The following is a 20,245-nucleotide window of genomic DNA, read 5'->3' as shown; positions in this document are numbered from 1 at the left end:
CTCCCGAGTAGCTGGAATTACAGGTGCATGCCACCATGCCCAGCTAATTTATTTTGTTTTGTTTAGGTTTTTTATTAGAGACAAATTATTTTCACTACATTGGCCAGGCTGGTCTCGAACTCCTGACTTCAGGTGATCCGCCCACCTTGGCCTCCCAAAGTGCTGGGATTGCAGGCATGAGCCACTGTGCCCAGCCGAATGAACTCTGCTTCTAAGCAGTTTATGTAAGACTCTTTTTTGCTAATAAAAGCTCCTCTTACCCTTCCCTCACCAAATAAATGCACTGGTAGCTTGCCATTCCATGCACTCCAAATTATAATCTTTACTTCTATTCCTGAGTAAATCCATCATATTTAGAGATAATTTTTTCTAGTGTCTTTTTTTTCAGAATAACATTGATAATATTAGTAAACATAAGTATTTTAAAACTTAAGAATCCCATGACAACCTAAGAAAGGTGTATGAACATAAGTTTCCATGAGACAGATGATTGGCTTTGGCAGACTGAAATCATGTAGAAACTATTTTCATATGCAGCTTATACATTTAATGTTTACTACACATTAAGTGGTATTTCTCACTAACAATTCCATATTACAATTTCAGGATAATAGATTTATCCCAAATTTTGATATTCCCTTGAGAGCTGTGAAAGTAATATATGGCCTACAAAAACATTTCAGGAAATGAGTAACTTGGATAAATTAGTGCAACAAATGTTTATGGCTTTTTCTCATTTTTGGAAAAAGTTACTCCTAATTACCAATCTCTGTCTTCTTCCAGAACCTTTCCCATTCACCGTAACTTACCAGATTTTTTTCAGTGAATATCTGTATTTACAAAGAACTTTTTGTAGTGTGAAATAAACCTTACCTCCCAAACAGTTTTCATGCCTTATTACTTTACTTTGTTACAACATCTTTGTGCCACATAAGATAATTACAATTAGTCCTTTTTAGAGATGAGAAAACTGAGGCACAAAAAGATTAAGTAATTTACCGAAGCCCTTCCAGTTAATTAGTTTCAAAACTAAAGTTAGAGCCAACCAATTAAGTAGTTATACTGAGTTTACTCTGAATAATTCATATGACCTCTAGTTATAAAAGTTAAACTAATAGCCTGATGGCATAGCCAGTAGTTGGCTTACTTTTCAAAATCATAAGACTGTGAAAGCAGATGAGAAGACGAAAGGTCCCACTCTGAGTAATAGCCATACAAATGATCATTTAATACATTCTCTTTTTAAATATGTCAGTTTGGTTTTTTGTTTGTTTGTTTGTTTTGAGACGGAGTCTCGCTCTGTCGCCCACCCTGGAGTGCAGTGGCACAATCTCATCTCACTGCAAGCTCCGCCTTCCTGGGTTCAAGCCATTCTCCCGTCTCAGCCTCCTGAGTAGCTGGGGCTACAGGCGCGCACCACCACGCCCGGCTAATTTTTTGTATTTTTAGTAGAGACGGGATTTCACCGTGTTAGCCAGGATGGTCTCGATCTCCTGACCTTGTGATCCGCCCGCCTCGGCCTCCCAAAATGCTGGGATTACAGGCATGAGCCACTGCGCCCGGCATCAGTTTGGTTTTTTTAATAGCATTTCTTTTCCTAGCAGTATCCAATTCACGAATGACAATTTTTAAAAAGCATGCCAAAAATCTGAGACAATTATGTGACCTTAAACAGTGATGTGGTTTGTTTAAATATGGAGCTGGTAATTTACTGAGATTCAGCTGTTCATGACTGATATCTTCACGTTAGTTATACATACTTAATTAATTAAAATTAATGTTTGCCAACTAACTATGCATCTGGGCAATAAATGTGCTTGATATTTGCTGTCAAAGTACAGATTATAATAAATTTCTGCAATGCGTATGGTTTTCTAAATGTATTTCTATTATTGAAAGGGCAAGACCAGCTTTGTATTAGATGAAAATTATTGGGAAAATGGGAGACATAGCTCAAAACTGAAGGTACCTGTTTGCAGCCCATATATTCTTTAAATAAACTTTTTTTAGAACAATTTTAGATTTACAGAAAAATTGTGAGGGTAGTTGTATTAGTCCGTTTTCACACTGCTGTAAAGAACCACGTGAGACTGAGTAATTTATGAAGAAAAGAGGTTTAATTGACTCACAGTTCTGCAGGCTTAATAGGAAACATGACTGGGAAGCCTCAGGAAACTGAATCATGGTGGAAGGCAAAGGGGAAGCAAGCAGGTCTTACCATGGTGGAGCAGGAGAGACAGCGAGTGAGGGGGGAAATGCCACACACTTTTAAACCATCAGATCTCAGGAGAACTCACTCACTATCCCGAGAACAGCAGAGGGGAAATCCACCCCCATGTTTCAATCACCTCCAACCAGGCCCCTCCTCCAACACGTGGGGATTACAATTCAAGATGAAATTTGGGTGAGGACACAGAGCCAAACCATATCAATAGTACAGAAAGTTCCTATATATTCCACACCCAGATTCCCCTGTTGTTAACATTTTATATTAGTATGACACACTATTATTAACTAAAGTCCACATTTTATCCCATTTTCCTAAATTTTTACCTACTATCCTTTTTCTGTTCCAGGATCCCATATAGGATACCATATTACATTTAGTCATCGTATCTCTTAGGCTCTCCTTGGCTTTGATGGCCTCAACAGTTTTGAGTAGTACTGGCCAGTGTTTTATAGAATGTTCCTCTACTGAAATTTACCTTATGTTTTTCTCATAATTAGACTGGACTTAGGGGTTTTGATAGTGAAGATCACAGAAATCAACTGCTATTTTCATCACATCAGATCAAGGGCACATGCTATCAAAATGACTTATCACTATTGACGTTGACCTTGATCACCTAGTTGAGGTAGTATTGGGTAGTAGCTTTCTGCACTCTAAAGTTACAGTTTTTCGCGCGTTTTATAGGGCTTTTTGGAAAGAAGTCTCTATTTGCAGTCCACACTTAAGGAGTGAAGAGCCATTTAATTTTATATGTAAATAAAATGTAATTTATAATTTTGAAAGCATGCACCATTTAAAAAAATGTAATCATCAAAGTCTTGGTAAGTTGTGGCATCTTGACACTTTACACACTTAAGATCATATTCTTAGAATCTTTGTAGGGACATCTTCTGTGTGATACTATTTGCGTGATACCACTTTGGACACATTTTCCCAGGTTCTCAGATTATTTCTCTGACAAGCTTTTATTATCAGGCACTATGGTGGACCCTGGGAATGCAAACCTGAGACATTATCCTTGCCCTCAAGAGGTTTAAGTTCTCATTTTAGAGATTCCACATTCTAAAAGCCAATACTTTCCTCGTTTTTCTTGCGGTGGCATTTGGAATATTTTCAAACATCTTTTTAGAACTATGGTTGGCCAGGCATGGTGGCTCAAGCCTGTAATTCCAGTACTTTGGGAGGCAGAGGTGGGCAGATTGCTTGAGCCCAGGGGTTTGAGGCCAGCCTGGCCAACATGGCAAAAATACAAAAATTAGCTGGGCTTGGTGGCAGGCACCTGTGGTCCCAGATACTTGGGAGGATCGTTTGAGCCTGGGAGGTTGAGGCTGCAGTGAGCCCTGATCACACCACTGCACTCCAGCCTGGGCAATAGGGCAAGACCCTATCTCAAAAATAAAAATAAAAATAAACTTACATAAATTAAATAAAAATATCATCATTTTCCAAAATATGGCACAATACATTATTACCAGAGTAAAGAATGAACATTCCTCTTTTTTTTTTTTTTTTTTTTTCTCTACACGGAGTCTCACTCTGACACCAGGCTGGAGTACAGTGGCTCGATCTCTGCTCACTGCAACCTCCACCTCCTGGGTTCAAGCAATTCTCCTGCCTCAGCCTCCCAAGTAGCTGGGACTACAGGTGCGTGCCACCATGCCTGGCTAATTTTTGTATTTTTAGTAGAGATGGGGTTTCACCATGTTGGCCCAGGATGGTCTCAATCTCTTGACCTCGTGATCCGCCTGTCACAGCCTCCCAAAGTGCTAGGATTACAGGCTTGAGCCACCGTGCCTGGCCTCCTCTCTCTCTTTTTAAAAATATTTTGTTTTCCTGCCTCAGAAAAACATAGATGTGGTTCCTTAGAATTTCCCTGAATTTTTTCCAACAAATGAATTGGACATCCAATTATGCACAATCTTCTAGTTTTGTCTTGCTCATCTTTTATTATTGAAAGAGCAAAGAACGCATGCTGGGATGGAAGGTCTACCACCATCCTAATTCTTGCATCAGCTAAAGTGTCTTTGTCTATAAATTACAAAAAAATCACTCAGCCAGATTGGCTTAAATAATAGAAATTTGTTAACTCATGTATCAGAAAATCCTGAAGTAGTCAGTAAATAGATTTGGGGGGGTTGATGTAGCTACTCATCAATGTCATCTTGGATCCAGCTTCATTTCGTCTTTCCACTCTACACTCATCAGTGTCCTGGCTTCATACTCTGACTGGTAACAAGATGGATGTAGTAGTTTCAGGCATCACATACAGACACAGCAGTGTCCACAGGTAGAAAGCAGGCCCTTCTCTATCCTTGTCATGGACAAGAACCAGGTCCCTGAACCACATGATCATAAACCAATTCCTGGCAGGAGAATAAGAATATCATAATTGATTCAGACCAATTAGGGTTGACTCCCGAGCTGGAGGTTACTCCAGAATTGCATGAAGAACAGATGAATATCTGAGCAAAACTAGGGTCCTGTTAAGAAAGAATAAGAAGGGAGTAGACATTGTATAGAAAACCAAGGCCTACTATATGCTCTTTGTAGCATTTCCTGGCAGGTCTGTCCTACTTTAGAGCTCATATTGTTCTTCTCTGCCCTTTTTTAGTGATATTTTCTTTTCTTTTTTCTTTTCTTTTTTTTTTTTTTTTTTTTTTTGAGATGGAGTCTCTGTCATCAGGCTGGAGTGCAATGGCTCGATCTCAGCTCACTGCAACCTCCTCCTCCTGGATTCAAACGATTCTCCTGCCTCAGCCTCCTGAGTAGCTGGGGCTACAGGTGCATGCCAGCATGCCCAGCTAATATTATGTATTTTTTAGTAGAGACGGGGCTTCACCATATTGGCCAGGCTGGTCTCAAACTCCTGACCTCAGGTGATCTACCTACCTCGGCCTTCCAAAGTGCTGTGATTACAGGTGTGAGCCACTGTGCCCAGCCTATAGTGATATTTTCAAACTCAAGATTTTCTGCTGGTAATAGCTCTCTGCTTTCCTGATACATACTGAAGCTTATTTACTATGATTCCTATTGCCTAATACACCTGATTCTAAGTAGAGATTATTTTAAGCACAGGCCTCCTTCTCATGCCTTATTGGTCTTTAGGGTATAACAATTTTAGTAATAATTGGGGGGAATTAAGAATTCCACTAACTGCTGGCCTACAGCAAATCCTAAAGGGCCAATATCTTACATTTATAATCAGCTTCACTCTTTTCATTGAAAATTATACTCCCAATCTTCTGATGAGGGATGGAAAACAATCTGCTGTTTCCTGTGCCCTGCCCTAACTACTCCTTTTCCATGATAGAATATTATTCAGTTTCTTCCTAGCATTACTCTATTTATGATGCATTTATATACTTTATTTATTTTTATTTTTATTTTTTTGAGATGAAGTCTCACTGTGTTGCCCAGGCTGGAGTGCAGTGGTATGATCTCGGCTCACTGCAACCTCTGCCTCCCAGGTTCAAGCGATTCTCCTACCTCAGCCTCCTGAGTAGCTGGGATTACAGGCACACGCCACCAAGCCCAGCTAATTTTTGTATTTTTAGTACAGACAGGGTTTCATCATGTTGTCCAGGCTGGTCTTGAACTCCTGACCTCGGGTGATGTGCCCACCTCAGCCTCCCAAAGTGCTGGGATTACAGGCGTGAGTCACCGCACCCAGCCTATCCTTTATTCTTTAATTTTTTGTGTGTCTTTATGGTGGTTGTCTCCTACTATGTATCCCACTTGTACCAGCAAGGGATATGAATACAAAAGATTCATATGAAGAATGTTAACATGATTTGTACATATAATTTAAGCATTATTAGTATGTTACATCCCATGCCCACACTCAAGAAATTTGCGCGATTATAGAAGACAAATGTGGGTATGGTGGGAAAAGTACCAAAATTAGAATCAAAAGAGTGAAGTTTGAACATTAGCAACTTGCTTGATTTATGGCCTTACAGGGGAATATTTAACTTATCTTGGTCACTGTTATCCTATAGTAAAGTAAGGCTCATAATATTTATCTCAAGGACTGTTTTGAGATTAAATGAGATAATTGATATGAAAGTGCATTGTGGCTGGGCGCAGTGGTTCACGCCTGTAATCCCAGCACTTTGGGAGGCCGAGGCGGGCGGATCACCGGAGGTTGGGAGTTCAAGACCATTCTGACCAACGTGGAGAAACCCCGTCTCTACTAAAAAAATACAAAAAAAATTAGCCAGGCGTGGTGGTGCATGCCTGTAATCCCAGCTACTCGGGAGGCTGAGGCAGGAGAATTGCTTGAACCCAGGAGGTGGAGGGTGCAGTGAGCCGAGATCATGCCATTAAACTCCAGCCTGGGCAACAAGAGTGAAACTCCATCTACAAAAAAAAAAAAAGAAAGTGCATTGTGAGAAATGTGAGACATTATGGGGGATTACTATTTTCATAGAGCCTATAAAAACATGAGGATATAGAGAAGTTTTTTTGTTTTGTTTTTTGGGGTTTTTCTGAGACAGTCTTGCTCTGTTGCCCAGGCTGGAGTGCAGTGGCGTGATCTCAGCTCACTGCAACTGCCCCCTTCCGCGTTTAAGCGATTCTCCTGCCTCAGCCTCCCAAGTAGCTGGGACTATAGGCGCCCGCTGCCACACCTGGCTAATTTTTGTATTTTTTTAGTAGAGACGAGGTTTCGACATATTGGCCAGGCTGGTCTTGAACTCCTGACCTCAAGTCATCTGCCCACCTCGGCCTCCCAAAGTGCTGGGATTACAAGCATGAGCCACTGCATCCAGCCTAGAGTATTTTTAATGTTCAAGAAAACTAAACCAATGGGTCAGTACAGAGAGGTAAAAACTAAACTAGCTATTGGCTTTATTCAGACAAAAATGTTTGACTAGCTAATGTCAGTGTCCAGCCCATATCCCTCCGGCCCACGCTGGAGGTCAACTGTATTTAGGTAGACAATGACTTTTCACCTTAAGCATCCCTCTGCCTGAGAGCTCTCAGGGAGTTAATTTCCTGGGGAGCAAACTTCAACCAGTAATGGGCAGACATTGATGGATAAAAACCCTTGCTTCCTTGTCTCTTGGAACAATTTCAGATGTGCTTTACAATGTGTCTCAGAGTGTCCATAGTGATAGTGAGCCCCAATTACTCATGGCAGTAACCTGTACATTGCATTGTACAATGCAAAGATAATGCATTGATCTTTTCCCTGTCTCCTTCCATTTCCTGTACCATTTCATTTCTCCCTCACCATAGTTCCTGGGATCACCTCTGTGTAGAAAAAAAATAAACTCAGTTTCTCCCACCATACTCTCACACCAGACGTGTGGGAATTTCTCCCCACCAGCCAGCAAGCAATCACTTCTGCAGTGAATACCAGCTGGGTGTCCTCCAATATAATTCTGACACCACCTACCTGGAGATAGTATCAGATCCCACAGGTTGAGGGCTCAGTCCCCAAGACTTCTCACCTTTTGATGCCCATCTCAAGCCCAGGTTCTTTCACCAGTGCTTCTGACTGACTAGCTATAAACTGGAGATCCCAAATCCTGGTTCTGGGTTCCATTAATTTGCTAGAGTCGCTCACAGGATTCAAGGAAACACTGGCTTGTTACAAAGGAGACTGCAAAGGATACGATGAAGAGATGCATAGGGTGAGGTATGGGAAGGGGTGTGGAGTTTCCATGCCCTCTTCAGGTGCGCCCCCCTCCAGGAAGCTCCATGTATTAAGCTATCTGAAAGCTCCCCATAACCTGTCCTCTTGCGCCTTTTACGGAGACTTCGATAGATAGGAATGTTAGCAACTGTGAGAAATGTGATTGGGCAAAAAGTGTATGATCCCATACTAATAGATTGGGTGGAGAAACCCAGCAAGGCCTGTCTGTCCAGATTCTTCTTGGCCTGTCGGTGCAATTTTCCTTCTTCCAGGATACGGAGCAGGACCCCTTTTGAAATGGGGGTCTTATTGAGATGGAGCAGGGACTCCTCTTAGGGGTCTACTGGAAGCTCTTCCCCCAAGCATGAAATAAAGGAAAATCTTTAGTTTCTTCAGGGGAAATTCCAGGCACCTAGCTAGCCCTGAGAAGTAAATGAGCAACTTAACAAGCAGGACAGTAATAGTAGCTTAAAACAATTGGCAAGAAAGTTACAGTCATGAGAAGTTTGGTTCCCTGCAGAAGCTAAAGATGAGGATTCAGGGAAACACTGGCTTGTTACAAAGGAGATTGCGAAGGATACGATGAAGAGATGCATAGGGTGAGGTATGGGAAGGGGTGTGGAGCTTCCATGCCCTCTTCAGGTGTGCGCCCCTCCGGGAAGCTTTTTTGTTTTGTTTTATTTTGTTTTGTTTTCTTGATACGGAGTTTTGCTCTTGTTGCCTAGGCTGGAGTGCAATGGCATGATCTCGGCTCACTGCAACCTCCACCTCCCAGGTTCAAGCGATTCTCCTGCCTCGGCCTCCCAAGTAGCTGGGATTATAGGCATGCGCCACCACATCCCAACTAATTTTGTATTTTTAGTAGAGATGGGGTTTCATCATATTGGTCAGGCCGGTCTCCCACTCTTGACTTCAGGTGATCCACCCGCATCGGCCTCCCAAAGTGCCGCCACGCCCAGCCTAAAGATAACATCTTAACACATGTACCTGAGTTGTTTTTCAGAAACTCAGACCCCTACTAAATGGGTCCACCGGCACGTAGACCTCACATAAGAATTGAGGACTGAACTCTGACCACGGTTCTTTGTTCTAAATTTCTTCCTGAGGGACCTGGAGGAAGTCATGCCCATGGGCCAGACCTATCATTTCTGTCTGCTGAACTCAAAATTTTAAAGAAAGCTTCCCTTCCTCAACCAATTCCAAATAAAAAAATTTTGAATCTACCTATGACCCATAACACGCTACTTCAAGATATCTCACCATTTTAAGCCAAACCAACGTATAGCCTTCATACATTTATGATTTTGCCTGTAATTTCTGCTTTGCTGAAATTTACTCCTGCCTTTAAAAAGTCTTGCTTGTAAGACACAGGGAGGTTGGGTCTTAAGCGTGAGCTGCCTGATTTTCTTTACTTGGCATTCTGCAAATAAATCCCCTCTGTATTAGTCTGTTTCACACCACTGATAAAGACATACTCGAGACTAATTTATAAAGAAAAAGAGGTTTAATGGACTCACAGTTCCACGTGGCTGGGAAGGCCTCACAATCATGGTGGAAGGCGAAAGGCATGTCTTACCTGGTGGCAGCCAAGAGAGAATGAGAGCCAAGCAAAAGGGGTTTCCCCTTATAAAACCATCAGATCTCATGAGACTTACTCACTACCACGAGTACAGTATGGGGGAAACCACTCCCATGATTCAATTATCTCTCACCGGGTCCCTCCCACAACACATGGGAATTATGGGAGCTACAATTCAAGATGAGACTGGGGTGTGGACACAGCCAAACCATATCACCCTCCCTCCTCCTGATGCAAAACCTCGGTGTGGTTGTTCGGCCTTACTGCATCCGGTGAGAGGGCCCCAGTTTGGTTCAGCAACATTATGACCTACAATCAGACAATGTAGTCAGATAATTTCTTTATGGCCAGCTCCAAGACAGAAAGGTGAGGAAAGATTAGAGTATATTTTTAGTTTCTATGGCCTGCCTCGAGGAGAAAAAGGAGCAGGTGAAAGGAAGGCAGGTCAGAGAGAGAGAAAGAGAGAGACAGATTCTGTTTCCTAAGGTCTAGTTCTGAGGCCTAAAGTATTGCAACATTACACCAAAAGACTACCTTTTACCTTTTTCACCCTGAAGCTGCTTCAGGAACCAAAGACAAAAGGACAAAACCTTGAGCGAAAGATATGATTATTGTTTCGGCCACTTAGCAAGTAACCAGGGCTATGGGAGTTATGAGCCAGGGACCGTGGTAGAAAAGACTTATATATATATAAATGTATATGTAAAATAGTATCACAACCTCCCAAATAAACTGCTTGTACCCAAATCCTTGTCTCAGAATCCACTTTTGGGTGAAATCTGAAGTAAGACATTTGTTTTTCATTTTTGAATATTCATTCTGTTGCATAAAACTTGCTTTACAAGCATGTGTTTGTGATGGTTCACATTTTGTTTGTCTTTGCTTTTAATTGTTCTTTTTATAAAAGAACACAAGAAATTGGAGAGTAGGACAGGAAGGAGGAAGAGGAAAAGAGGTGGAGAACTGAAAGCTGAGCTCTTTTTCTTAAGTGAAAAAACATGTTTTGAAAAAGGAAGTATTCCTTTTTAAGTGTGAATACAACCAGTCATGAGGCAGAGGTGAGAGAGAACTGCATGAACTGCGAGATGGGAAGGGTGGAAGGGAATGTCATCGTTGTTCTGACCCCAGTATTCCTTCTGATAGGATTTTTCTAAATCTGGACTCTTATTGCCTCTTCTGGCCCCCATACTTTCTACTCTGGGAATTCCTCTTTCTTAACTACATTTCTCATCACCAGGGTAACACAATAAAATCTTCAAATGAGAAAAGAGAGGAAATGTCAAGCAGGACTGTGCAGAATGCTTTGCTTTGTCTCTAAGTTCTGAGCTTGGACGGGCTTCCTGGAGACCAGCCCATGCCTTCTGACGTCAAGGACAGGCCTGGACCTGAGAGAAGCAAGTCGGGAGGAGTGGGGGTGGGGAAGTAATTGGTGTCAGGAGGTAGGAGAGACAAAAGTGTGTTCAAGCATTTATCCAGAGTGCTATCACTCCCATACTGAATCTCAGCCTAGACCAATACCAATACTAATAACAGTCCTTAGCATTAACCTTTTCTTTCTTTCTTTTTTTTTTTTTTTTTTTTTTTTTGAGATGGAGTCTCGCTCTGTCGCCCAGGCCGGACTGCGGACTGCAGTGGCGCAATCTCGGCTCACTGCAAGCTCCGCCTCCCGGGTTCACGCCATTCTCCTGCCTCAGCCTCCCGAGTAGCTGGGACTACAGGCGCCCGCCACCGCGCCCGGCTAATTTTTTGTATTTTTAGTAGAGACGGGGTTTCACCTTGTTAGCCAGGATGGTCTCGATCTCCTGACCTCATGATCCACCCGCCTCGGCCTCCCAAAGTGCTGGGATTACAGGCGTGAGCCACCGCGCCCGGCCCCTTTTCTTTCTTTCTGTTCTTCCAAAGCAGTGTAAAGTACTCCTTTCAAAGCAGTACCACGTTACAAAATCTGCAAATCCCAGAAGTCAATAACCTGAAGACATGCCAGGAGCAGTGAAGAAAACAAGTGTCATGAGAGATGAGGCAATAAAGACAGCAAGCTGAGGAGGAGGCTGTTTTCAAGCCACTTATCAGAATACACAGTAGGTACCCTTTTTCCCCTGGTACCCAATGTCACCACCTCAAAGGGGTGATTTTTTTAATCGATGGCCTAAAGAATTCTTTTCAAATGACATGAGTTGCTTTGAGGAGAGGTGGAATGAGATAGGCTCAAATACAAAGAAGAATCTTGCCAAAGTCCAAAGTCAGAAAAGAACCCACTGTGAAAGAGGAACCCACAAGAGTCAACATCTTGCTACTTCAACTAATTGCGCCCATTGGAAGGCAATGGAAGATGGACTGGAAGTTCACACACACAAAAAAATAGAAAAACCTGTCTGGGCATGGTGGCTCTCACCTTTAATCTCAGTGCTTTGGGAAGTTGAGCCAGAAGGATCACTTGAAGCCAGGAGTTCAAGTCCAGCCTGGGCAACATAGCAAGACCCTGTCTCTATAAAAATAAAAATAATTAGCCAGGTGTGGTGGTGTGCACTTGTAGTCCTAGCTACACAGGAGGCTGAGGTGGGAGGATCACTTGAGCCCAAGTGTTCGAGGCTGCAGTGAGCTATGATCACACCATTGCACTGTAGCCTGGGCAACAGAGTACCTACCTCTAAAATAAATAAATAATGAAAGAAAATAAAAGCCTATATTATTTCTCATCTAGATATTATAATATCCTCTCTGAGAGACCACCCAAAGAGTGCCATGAAAGGTAGAGCTAAATTCTGTCTCTGGCCACTGGATTTTCAAGCCAGGAGCAAGGGATTGGATAACTACAACTTGCTTATAGTTCTTCCCCCAGGAACTTAATAAAAAGTGTAAAAAAAGAACACCTAACAGGAACTCACCAATGCCTCTCACTAGGATCTTTCCTGACTTCAGCACGTTTTATAAAACACACATGGATTGTTTCTTCTCTCAGTGCCTTTGAGGAGACAAAGGTTATCCTGGTAAGAATGAATAGGGCTTATAAGTAGGGTTCTTAGCAAGGAAGAGATGGGAATATTTAATTAAAGGAGACCATTTGCTGGGTGTACGGGACTGGCTTTTGTGATAAAGTAGATGCTCTACATCCACTCAGCCCACCTTTGATTTTTTTTGCTGCAGCTGTAATGCACTTTCCTATGCATGCTGACAGAGTCCCACCACAAGTTCCTCTTCATCTCTCTGACATCCTTTACCAAGGAAGCAGTGGGAGCTTATATGCTAGGAGCTTATAAGTGTACAGGGCAAGCCCAAAGGAGAAATATTCCCCCATTAGAACCCCAGCCAGTGGTGCCAGGGGATAAATTGTTCAGCCTCCCCTCTTTTGCAGGGCCATTCTCAAGTGTATTCCACATGGTTCCTCAAAGGATCCTCGGAAGGCTTGAGCCCAATTGCCCACTGCGGTAATTAGTTCAATAACATCCCCTCCTTTTTTTTTTTTACTTTTCCATCTTCCTTCTCTCAGTAAGCTTACTCCTTCATTCCTACTTTCTGGAGTCATTTTGCAAATAAATTACCTGAACTCAATTCCTTACCTCATGCTCTACTTTTGGGTGGACCCAAACTAAGACAGTAATATCTGGTGTAGTTGGAGAAAGCATCCCCTCGGGATGGTATTCTGGAACAGGTTTACTCACCAGTCAGATGAAAACAAAAGCTCCATTGCTGGTAGTAATTGTGGTGTTGATAACCTCTGGCATAACAATCAAACTCTCACCCGTGGTGGACAGGATGTTGTGGAAGGGAAAGCTTCACTTATATAGTATCTAATACTGGGATGAAAGGGGGCAATGGTAATTATAACAGTAGTGGAATTGACTGGCTTTTGTGAAATGCCATAAGAGTTTTGAAGACTGCCTCAAAGAAAAAGACGAGTTCAGGTCAGCCAACTATCAGGTCAAGACATTCTGTGAAAGTCAGAAGTCTTCCATGACAGCAAGTAAAGGGACTGTGTAGCAAAACGGCAGTCGGGCCAGGCACAGTGGCTTGCTCCTGTAATCCCAGCTACTCGAGAGGCTGTGGCAGAAGGATCGCTTGAGCTCAGGAGTTTAAGGCTGCAGTGAGCTATGATTGTGCCTGGGCAGCAGAGTGAGATCCCATCTCTGAAACAGAAAGAAAAGAAAAGAGAGAGAGAAAGAAAAAGAAAGGAAAGAAGGAAGGAAGGAAGGAAGAAAGGAAAGAAGGGAGAGAGGGAGGGAGGGGAGGGGAGGGAGGGAGGGAGGAAGGAAGGAAGGAAAAAAAGATGAAAGGGCAGTCTGTGCTAAAATTCAAGCTCCAAATTCAATCTTAGGGGTGGCAGAATGGCAAAGGAGACTGAATATACAGGTCTTCTACGCTAAAGATCTATGCTAAAGTCACAGCTTTGATAGGGAAACAGTGGGACTCAGACTTGGGATGAAGGCCTCTGTGAGGATATGGATGAGGACCTTAAATCCTGGGTGCTCTTGAATCAGGGAGGTTACAGAAACCAGTCTCCTGCCTCTTGCTGGAGGACAGCAGTCTTCCCTTGCCTGAAGAGGATGAAAACCTTCCTGAGTTGAGTGTCTTGGAAGATGTTACTCGTCCTCCTTGGGATCCCTCCAGTGACTCCTCTAACTGCCTGTAGCTTGAAAATGTGTCAAGTTCTAGCATACCGTAAGAGGGAAGGTACTGTTTCTTCTATGGGAAGAAATAACTTGCTGAAAGAATTACAGAAAAATTCTGACAGGAAAGAGGAAAAGATCTATGGGAATAAATCTGAAAGTGTTAAATTGAATAGGATAGGTAAGTGAGATATAAGGCTGAATACAGGAGAGTGTAATTCTCCCGTGACTCACGGTAACATCCCATCAAGGACTCCTGGAGTTTGTCCCAACACACTGCTAAGACGGTGCCTTGAAACTTGGACATGATAACAATGTAGAGATGCCACAGTTGTCTATTTAAAAAAAGGTCAGAAGGCTCAAGGAAGTGGGCATAAGAGAATGAGATTTTTATGTGAGACCAATCGCCTGACTGTTTCCTACTGTACTCCCTCCACAAAGGTAAGAAGGAACATACCAGCATTTTATGAAAGGTTAGTGGCAGTGGCCTCTATGAATTGGGGTTCACAGAATAAAATTCTGCCACAGAATTGAGCCTTCTAGGGTCAATGGGAATAAAAAGAATTCAATTATTTGAGAGTCCAGGTAGCTGCACTTAAACATCGAAGGCCAGATGGACATAATTCATGTAATATGCAAGACTATAGGGGTAACCAGGGTTTTGCCAGGCCCCTAGAGATTTGTGATAATAGATCTTCATGTTCCCAGGAGTGAGATGGATAGGCAGCCTACAAAAATATTACTTGACTTTCATAACCAGAAAAAAAGTAAAAACAGGTGAGCAGTAGGCTAGGATCAGTGCCACAGTAGAAAAGTATAATACTCTGTTGAGTTTTTAGACCAGAGTGAGTTATCAGACCCAGAACCCAATAATTGAAGGGGAAGCATGATCTGCTCAAGGAAAGGCCCTGCAATCACATCATAAACATATATATATATTAACTCTCCAATTCTTCCCCCAAAGAGACCTATGGCTATTTATTCAGACCTTTCAAGGGCTGTTAGATACAGGATCTGAGGTGACACTAATAACAGGGGACCCAAATGCTATCATGGCCCCATTGATAAAGGTGATGGATAATATGGTAATTACCCTGATTTGATCCTTACACATTGTATATACATATTGAAATATTATACTGTACTCCATCAATGTGTACAATTATATGTCAATTAAAAATAATAATTGGCTGGGCACAGTGGCTCATGCCTGTAATCCCAACATGTTGTGAAGCCAAGGTGGGAGGATTGCTTGAGCCCAAGAGTTCAAAACCAGGCTGGGCAACATGGCAAGACCCTGTCTCTAGAAACAATAAGAAATTAGCCAGGTGTGGTGGTGTGTACCTGTAGTCCCAGCAACTTGGAAGGCTGAGGGGTGAGGATTGCTTTAGCCTGGAAGGTCGAGGCTTCAGTAAGCCATGGTTATGCCACTGCACTCCAGCCTGGGTGACAAAGTGAGATCCTGTCCCCCAAGTAAATAAGTAAATAAGCAGGCAAATAAAAGTCATGTGGATATACGAATAAGAGTAGAAATGAACATGCACATCTTCATGCCTCACACTAATGTTCTCTGGAGAACATCCATCACTGAGAGGCTCTTAGCAATGAGGAAAAGAGGCTACCCCTTGGGTAGATGTCAGCCAGCCTCTATTCTTGGCACTCCAATGCTAGTGCAATGGACCCATCAACATAGTAGCTTTGTCAGCAGGTATGGAGGCCATGCAAGGCCCCAACTGTATTGGCTCATTCTCACCAAGCTGGCATAGCTACTGTATCTACAAAGTTCTGACTTGTCAGCAACAAAAACCAATAACACACATTCAGCAGAGTACCAACCTTCAAGGACACTAGCCAAGAACTTAGGGGCAAATTGATTGCATCCGATCCCTCATCCTCCCTCCAGAGAGGACAGTGATTCATCCTTACTGGAATTGTTTCCTGTTCTGAATATGAGTTTGTCCTTCTTGCTCATAGTGTAGCTTCTAGGATTATTATCTGACAGCTTACAGAATGCTTCATTTACTAACGTTGTTACCTGTATAACATCAGTTTGCACTAAAGGACCCATAGTGAAGGAGGCACAACAAGACAACATGGGCACAAGACTATGGGATCCACTGTTCCTACCATATACCACAGTATCCACAAGTTGCTGAACTGATAAAATGTTGGAATGAACAATTTAGAGATCGGCTAGTTTGGAGACAATACTCTGCATGATTAGGATTTGGCCTATAGGATGTGATATACGCATTGAGCCAATGCCGTGTATCTAATAGCTAGGATACATAAGTCTAGAAACCAAGGTGGAGAAGTTGAATTGGCTTCTCTCACCGTCATACCCAGCGACCCACTTGCAGAATTTGTGCTTCCTATGTTCACATCCTTAGGCTCTGCTAACATTCTTAAAAAATGCAAAGAATTATTTTTATAAATTTTTACTGGTGGTAGGAGGGAGAAAAATGACTTGTATCAATACGTAGCATTAGTACACAGCATTAATACACAGCAAGAATCTCACAGGACCTGTAGCTATGACTACCCCCTGCTCACTTTGGCTCTTTATGCCAAAGGACTAGTAGACAAAGAAAGGCATTTTTCATACTGGCAAGGTAATTGATCCTGATTATCATAAGCATCTAGGATTATTGCTAAATAATGAAGGCAGTAAGGAGTATTTCTAGATCTCGAAAGATTAACTGGGATTCATCTAGCTCTTTCATACCTGGCAAAAGCACTGAATGAAAAATTATAGCAGCCTCAGCCTGACATGGGTAAGCCAACCAAGAGCTTGGATTCCTCAAGGATGAAGACATTTGGATCTCCCCACCAACCAAATAACTTAGATTAGCTGAAGTGCTCACCAAGGGTAAAAAAAATCTGGAATGGGTGGAAATCTGAGTGGGACCTGATGAATATCAGTTATGGCCCTTTGAGCAGTTGCAGCAAGGGACATTTGCTTGCTACACTAAGTCTCATCTGGAGTCCTTTTAACAATCAGAAGCTAGCTATGACCTTAAAGAGTTGGTGACAGAATGAATTTCATATAGAGCAAAAATGGATCTGAAAGGTAAGGGATAGATTGTAGGAGATACTTTTGATGTCTTGTGCCACTTCTTTTGATTTCAGCTGCAAAGGTGTTGGACAGTTCCTATGCATGCCACAGTTTTCCCTCAAGCACCTGCTGGATCTCTCTGCCTTCCTGACTCCCACTCTCTCCAAAGCCACAGGAGTTCACTAAGCTCACATTGAATAACCAGACACACAGAGATGTTAATTCCCCTGGCAGCCATCCTCGATCAGTGAGTGAAAGGAGACAGCAGATAAATGTGTTAGCCTTTCGTCTTTGCTAGAGAAAATTCTGAGATTCATTTTACAAGATTCTTCAGAGATTGAGTCCCAATTGACCAAAGTGGTAACCAACTCAACAATGTGTCCTTCAATGGCTTTTCCTTATCTCTCTCATATTCTTGCTTTTCAAGATCACCTATCAAGTAAACTTATTCAGTCCCTGCTTGCAAAGGAAGCCAAGTAGATGGATAAACCAGTTGGCTTCTGGTTGATTGTGATATTCATAGAAAGGGTTGGCTGTGTTGTTAGAGAAAAAGCTAATGATAGTGTTGGTTGAGAAAATGAAGTTAACTAAAAATTGGAAATAAACATTTATTGTGCATGTATTATGTATCAAACATTTTAGAAGGTTTTCAATATCATTATCAGTTGATGATAGAGATGAGTTTTCTGAATTCATGGGGAAGAAACAAAAATAAGGAAAAAAGAGAAAGAAGCACATAGCAAGAAACCAACAAATCATAGTCAAACTCTTTTATAACGATGTTTACCAATATGCAGCCATCTAGATTAACCACTTATCTAAAGAAACAAGAACCACCTTATTTAGGCTTATTTTGTGTACCATGCTTTGGGTGTGTTAGGAGGTGGAAGTGAGAGTTGGAGCATGATTGATATGTGGTATATCCATACAAATACAACAAAATTCTGTTCTAAAAATATGAAATAATGGCTGGGCATGGTGGCTCACACCTGTAATCCCAGTGCTTTGGGAGGTTGAGGCAAGAGGATTACTCGAGACCAGGAGTTCAGGACCAGCCTGGGCAATGTAGCAAGATCCCATCTCTACAAGAATTAAAAAGTATATATTCCCAGCATTTTGGGAGGCCAAGTCAGGCAGATCATTTGACGTCAGGAGTTTGAGACCAGTTGAAACCCGTCTCTACGAAAATACAAAAAAAAATAGCCAGGTGTGGTGGCAGATGCCTGTAATCCCAGCTACTTGGGAGGCTATGACAGGAGAATCGCTTGAACCTGGGAGGTGGAGGTTGCAGTGAGCCAAGATCAAGCCACTGCACTCCAGCCTCGGTGACAGAGTGAGACTCTGTCTCAAAAAAATAAAAAAATAAATAAATAAATAAATAAAGAGAGAGAGATAATTAAAAAAAAAAAATAGGTGTTAGCTATTTGGGAGGCCGAGGGTGGGAAGATTGCTTGAGCCCAAGAGTTCCTGCCTGGGTGACAGAGAAAGATCCTGTCTAAAATAAATAAATAATAGAAAATATTAAATAATTCAACATGTAACATGAGAGAGATATAAGAAATACTCAAGATCATTTAGTCCAATCTCCTCATTTTACAAATGAAGAAAAGAGGTGGCTTAGTGGCAACATGAGACCCAGAATACCAACCAAGATTCTGATTCTCTTTTCATTATACATGGAAACTTGCACCAAGAGAAGAGTTGTCATTTAGAAAATGTTTAACTCAAAATGTTTTCCTTATTTGTGTGAAGTCTTACAAAAAGCTAGTATGATTATTGATTCCATTGGAGTTCAGTTGCTTGTACACAGTCTATAGTGATTCTGAGTCCCTTATACCTTGCTCTATGGCCTTAGATTGAGTCCCATTCAAATACTGAATGTTCCTAAGAGGCATAACATTGAGATGCAAATAAAAGACCTGAAAAGTACCTTTGAGATCACCTGGCCAACCCCGAAGAAGTTTTTGTAGATCTTTAGTACAGGTGCTTTTGTAGATATTTAGTATCATTTTCCATTGACTGCCTAACTTGGTCTCTATGATTCTTCTGGCCAAAATGGGAAGAAAGAATAGAAAAAAGAAGAAAGAAGAACATTTCCTCTACCTCTTTCTTTCAAATCTTATATTTAGACGTCCTCTTTAGCTAACCATGACCTTGGATAGGAAATGTCTATTTCATCTCCATGAGGAAAGCAGTGAATAAATGTTTATTGATTGATAGAACAGCATTCTCTGATTGTCTGTTCACTGGAATGCACTTCCCATAAGTAGCAAGAGTACTTTTCATCGATGAATCTTTTCTTAATTGTGGCAAAATATAAATAACATAAAATTTAGCATTTTAACCATTTTTAAGTGTATATTTAGTGCATTAAGTAGATGCACACTGTTGTACAACCATCACCACCATTCATTTCTGGACCTTTTTCATCTTCCCCAGTTGAAACCCTATACCCATTAAACAATAATTCTCCATTCCCTTCTCCTTCTAGCCCCTGGAAACCACCATTCTACTTTCTGTCTCTATGAATTTGAGTGTTCTAGCTACTTCATATAAGTAAAACATCATATGGTATTTGTCCTTTTGTAACTGGCTTATTTCACTTAATGTAATATCTTTAAGTTTCATTTATGGACCATGTGTCATTCTTTTTAAGATTGAATAACATTCTGTTGTATATACCACATTCTGTATATCCATATTTATCCATCAATACACATTTGGGCTGCTTCCATCTTTTGGCTTCTGTGAATAATGCTGCTGTGACAATCGGTGTACAAATTATCTTTTCAAGTCTTTGCTTTCAATTATTTTGGGTATATACTTAGAGGTGAAATTTCTGAATCATACAGTAATTCTGTCAATTTTCTGAGGAACCAGCATACTGTTTTCCACAGTGGCTGTACCATTTCACATTTCAACCAGCAATTTCAACCACAGGGATCCCAATTTCTCCATGTACCACTTGTTATTTTTCTGTTTGGGTTTGTTTTGTTTTTTTGATAGCAGCCATTCTAATGGGTGTGAAGTGGTATCTCATTGTGGCTTTGATTTGCATTTATAATTAGTGATGTTTTGACCATCTTTTTATGTGTTTATTAGCCATCTGTATATCTTCTTTAGAAAAATAACAATTCAA

At 41.6% G+C, this 20,245-nt stretch overlaps 1 protein-coding gene across 2 annotated transcripts in view, besides 1 other annotated feature; it reads left to right on the top strand.

The window, feature by feature from the left end:
- Nucleotides 1-20,245, top strand: part of FAM184A (family with sequence similarity 184 member A) — a 189,366-nt gene that overhangs the window by 41,453 nt on the left and 127,668 nt on the right. The window lies entirely within an intron of this gene.
- Nucleotides 16,983-17,484: an enhancer, noted in NCBI's record as "NANOG hESC enhancer chr6:119411357-119411858 (GRCh37/hg19 assembly coordinates)". NCBI's record gives its function as "activates a minimal SCP1, AML or CMV promoter by ChIP-STARR-seq in primed H9 embryonic stem cells {active_cell/tissue: H9 hESC(primed)}" and the evidence as "EXISTENCE:reporter gene assay evidence [ECO:0000049][PMID:30033119]".

This window comes from Homo sapiens, chromosome 6, assembly GCF_000001405.40.
Source record: "Homo sapiens chromosome 6, GRCh38.p14 Primary Assembly".
Classification (NCBI taxonomy): Eukaryota; Metazoa; Chordata; class Mammalia; order Primates; family Hominidae; genus Homo; species Homo sapiens.
The sequence above is the reverse complement of the archived record's forward strand: the minus strand, read 5'-3'. Positions and strand labels throughout refer to the sequence as shown.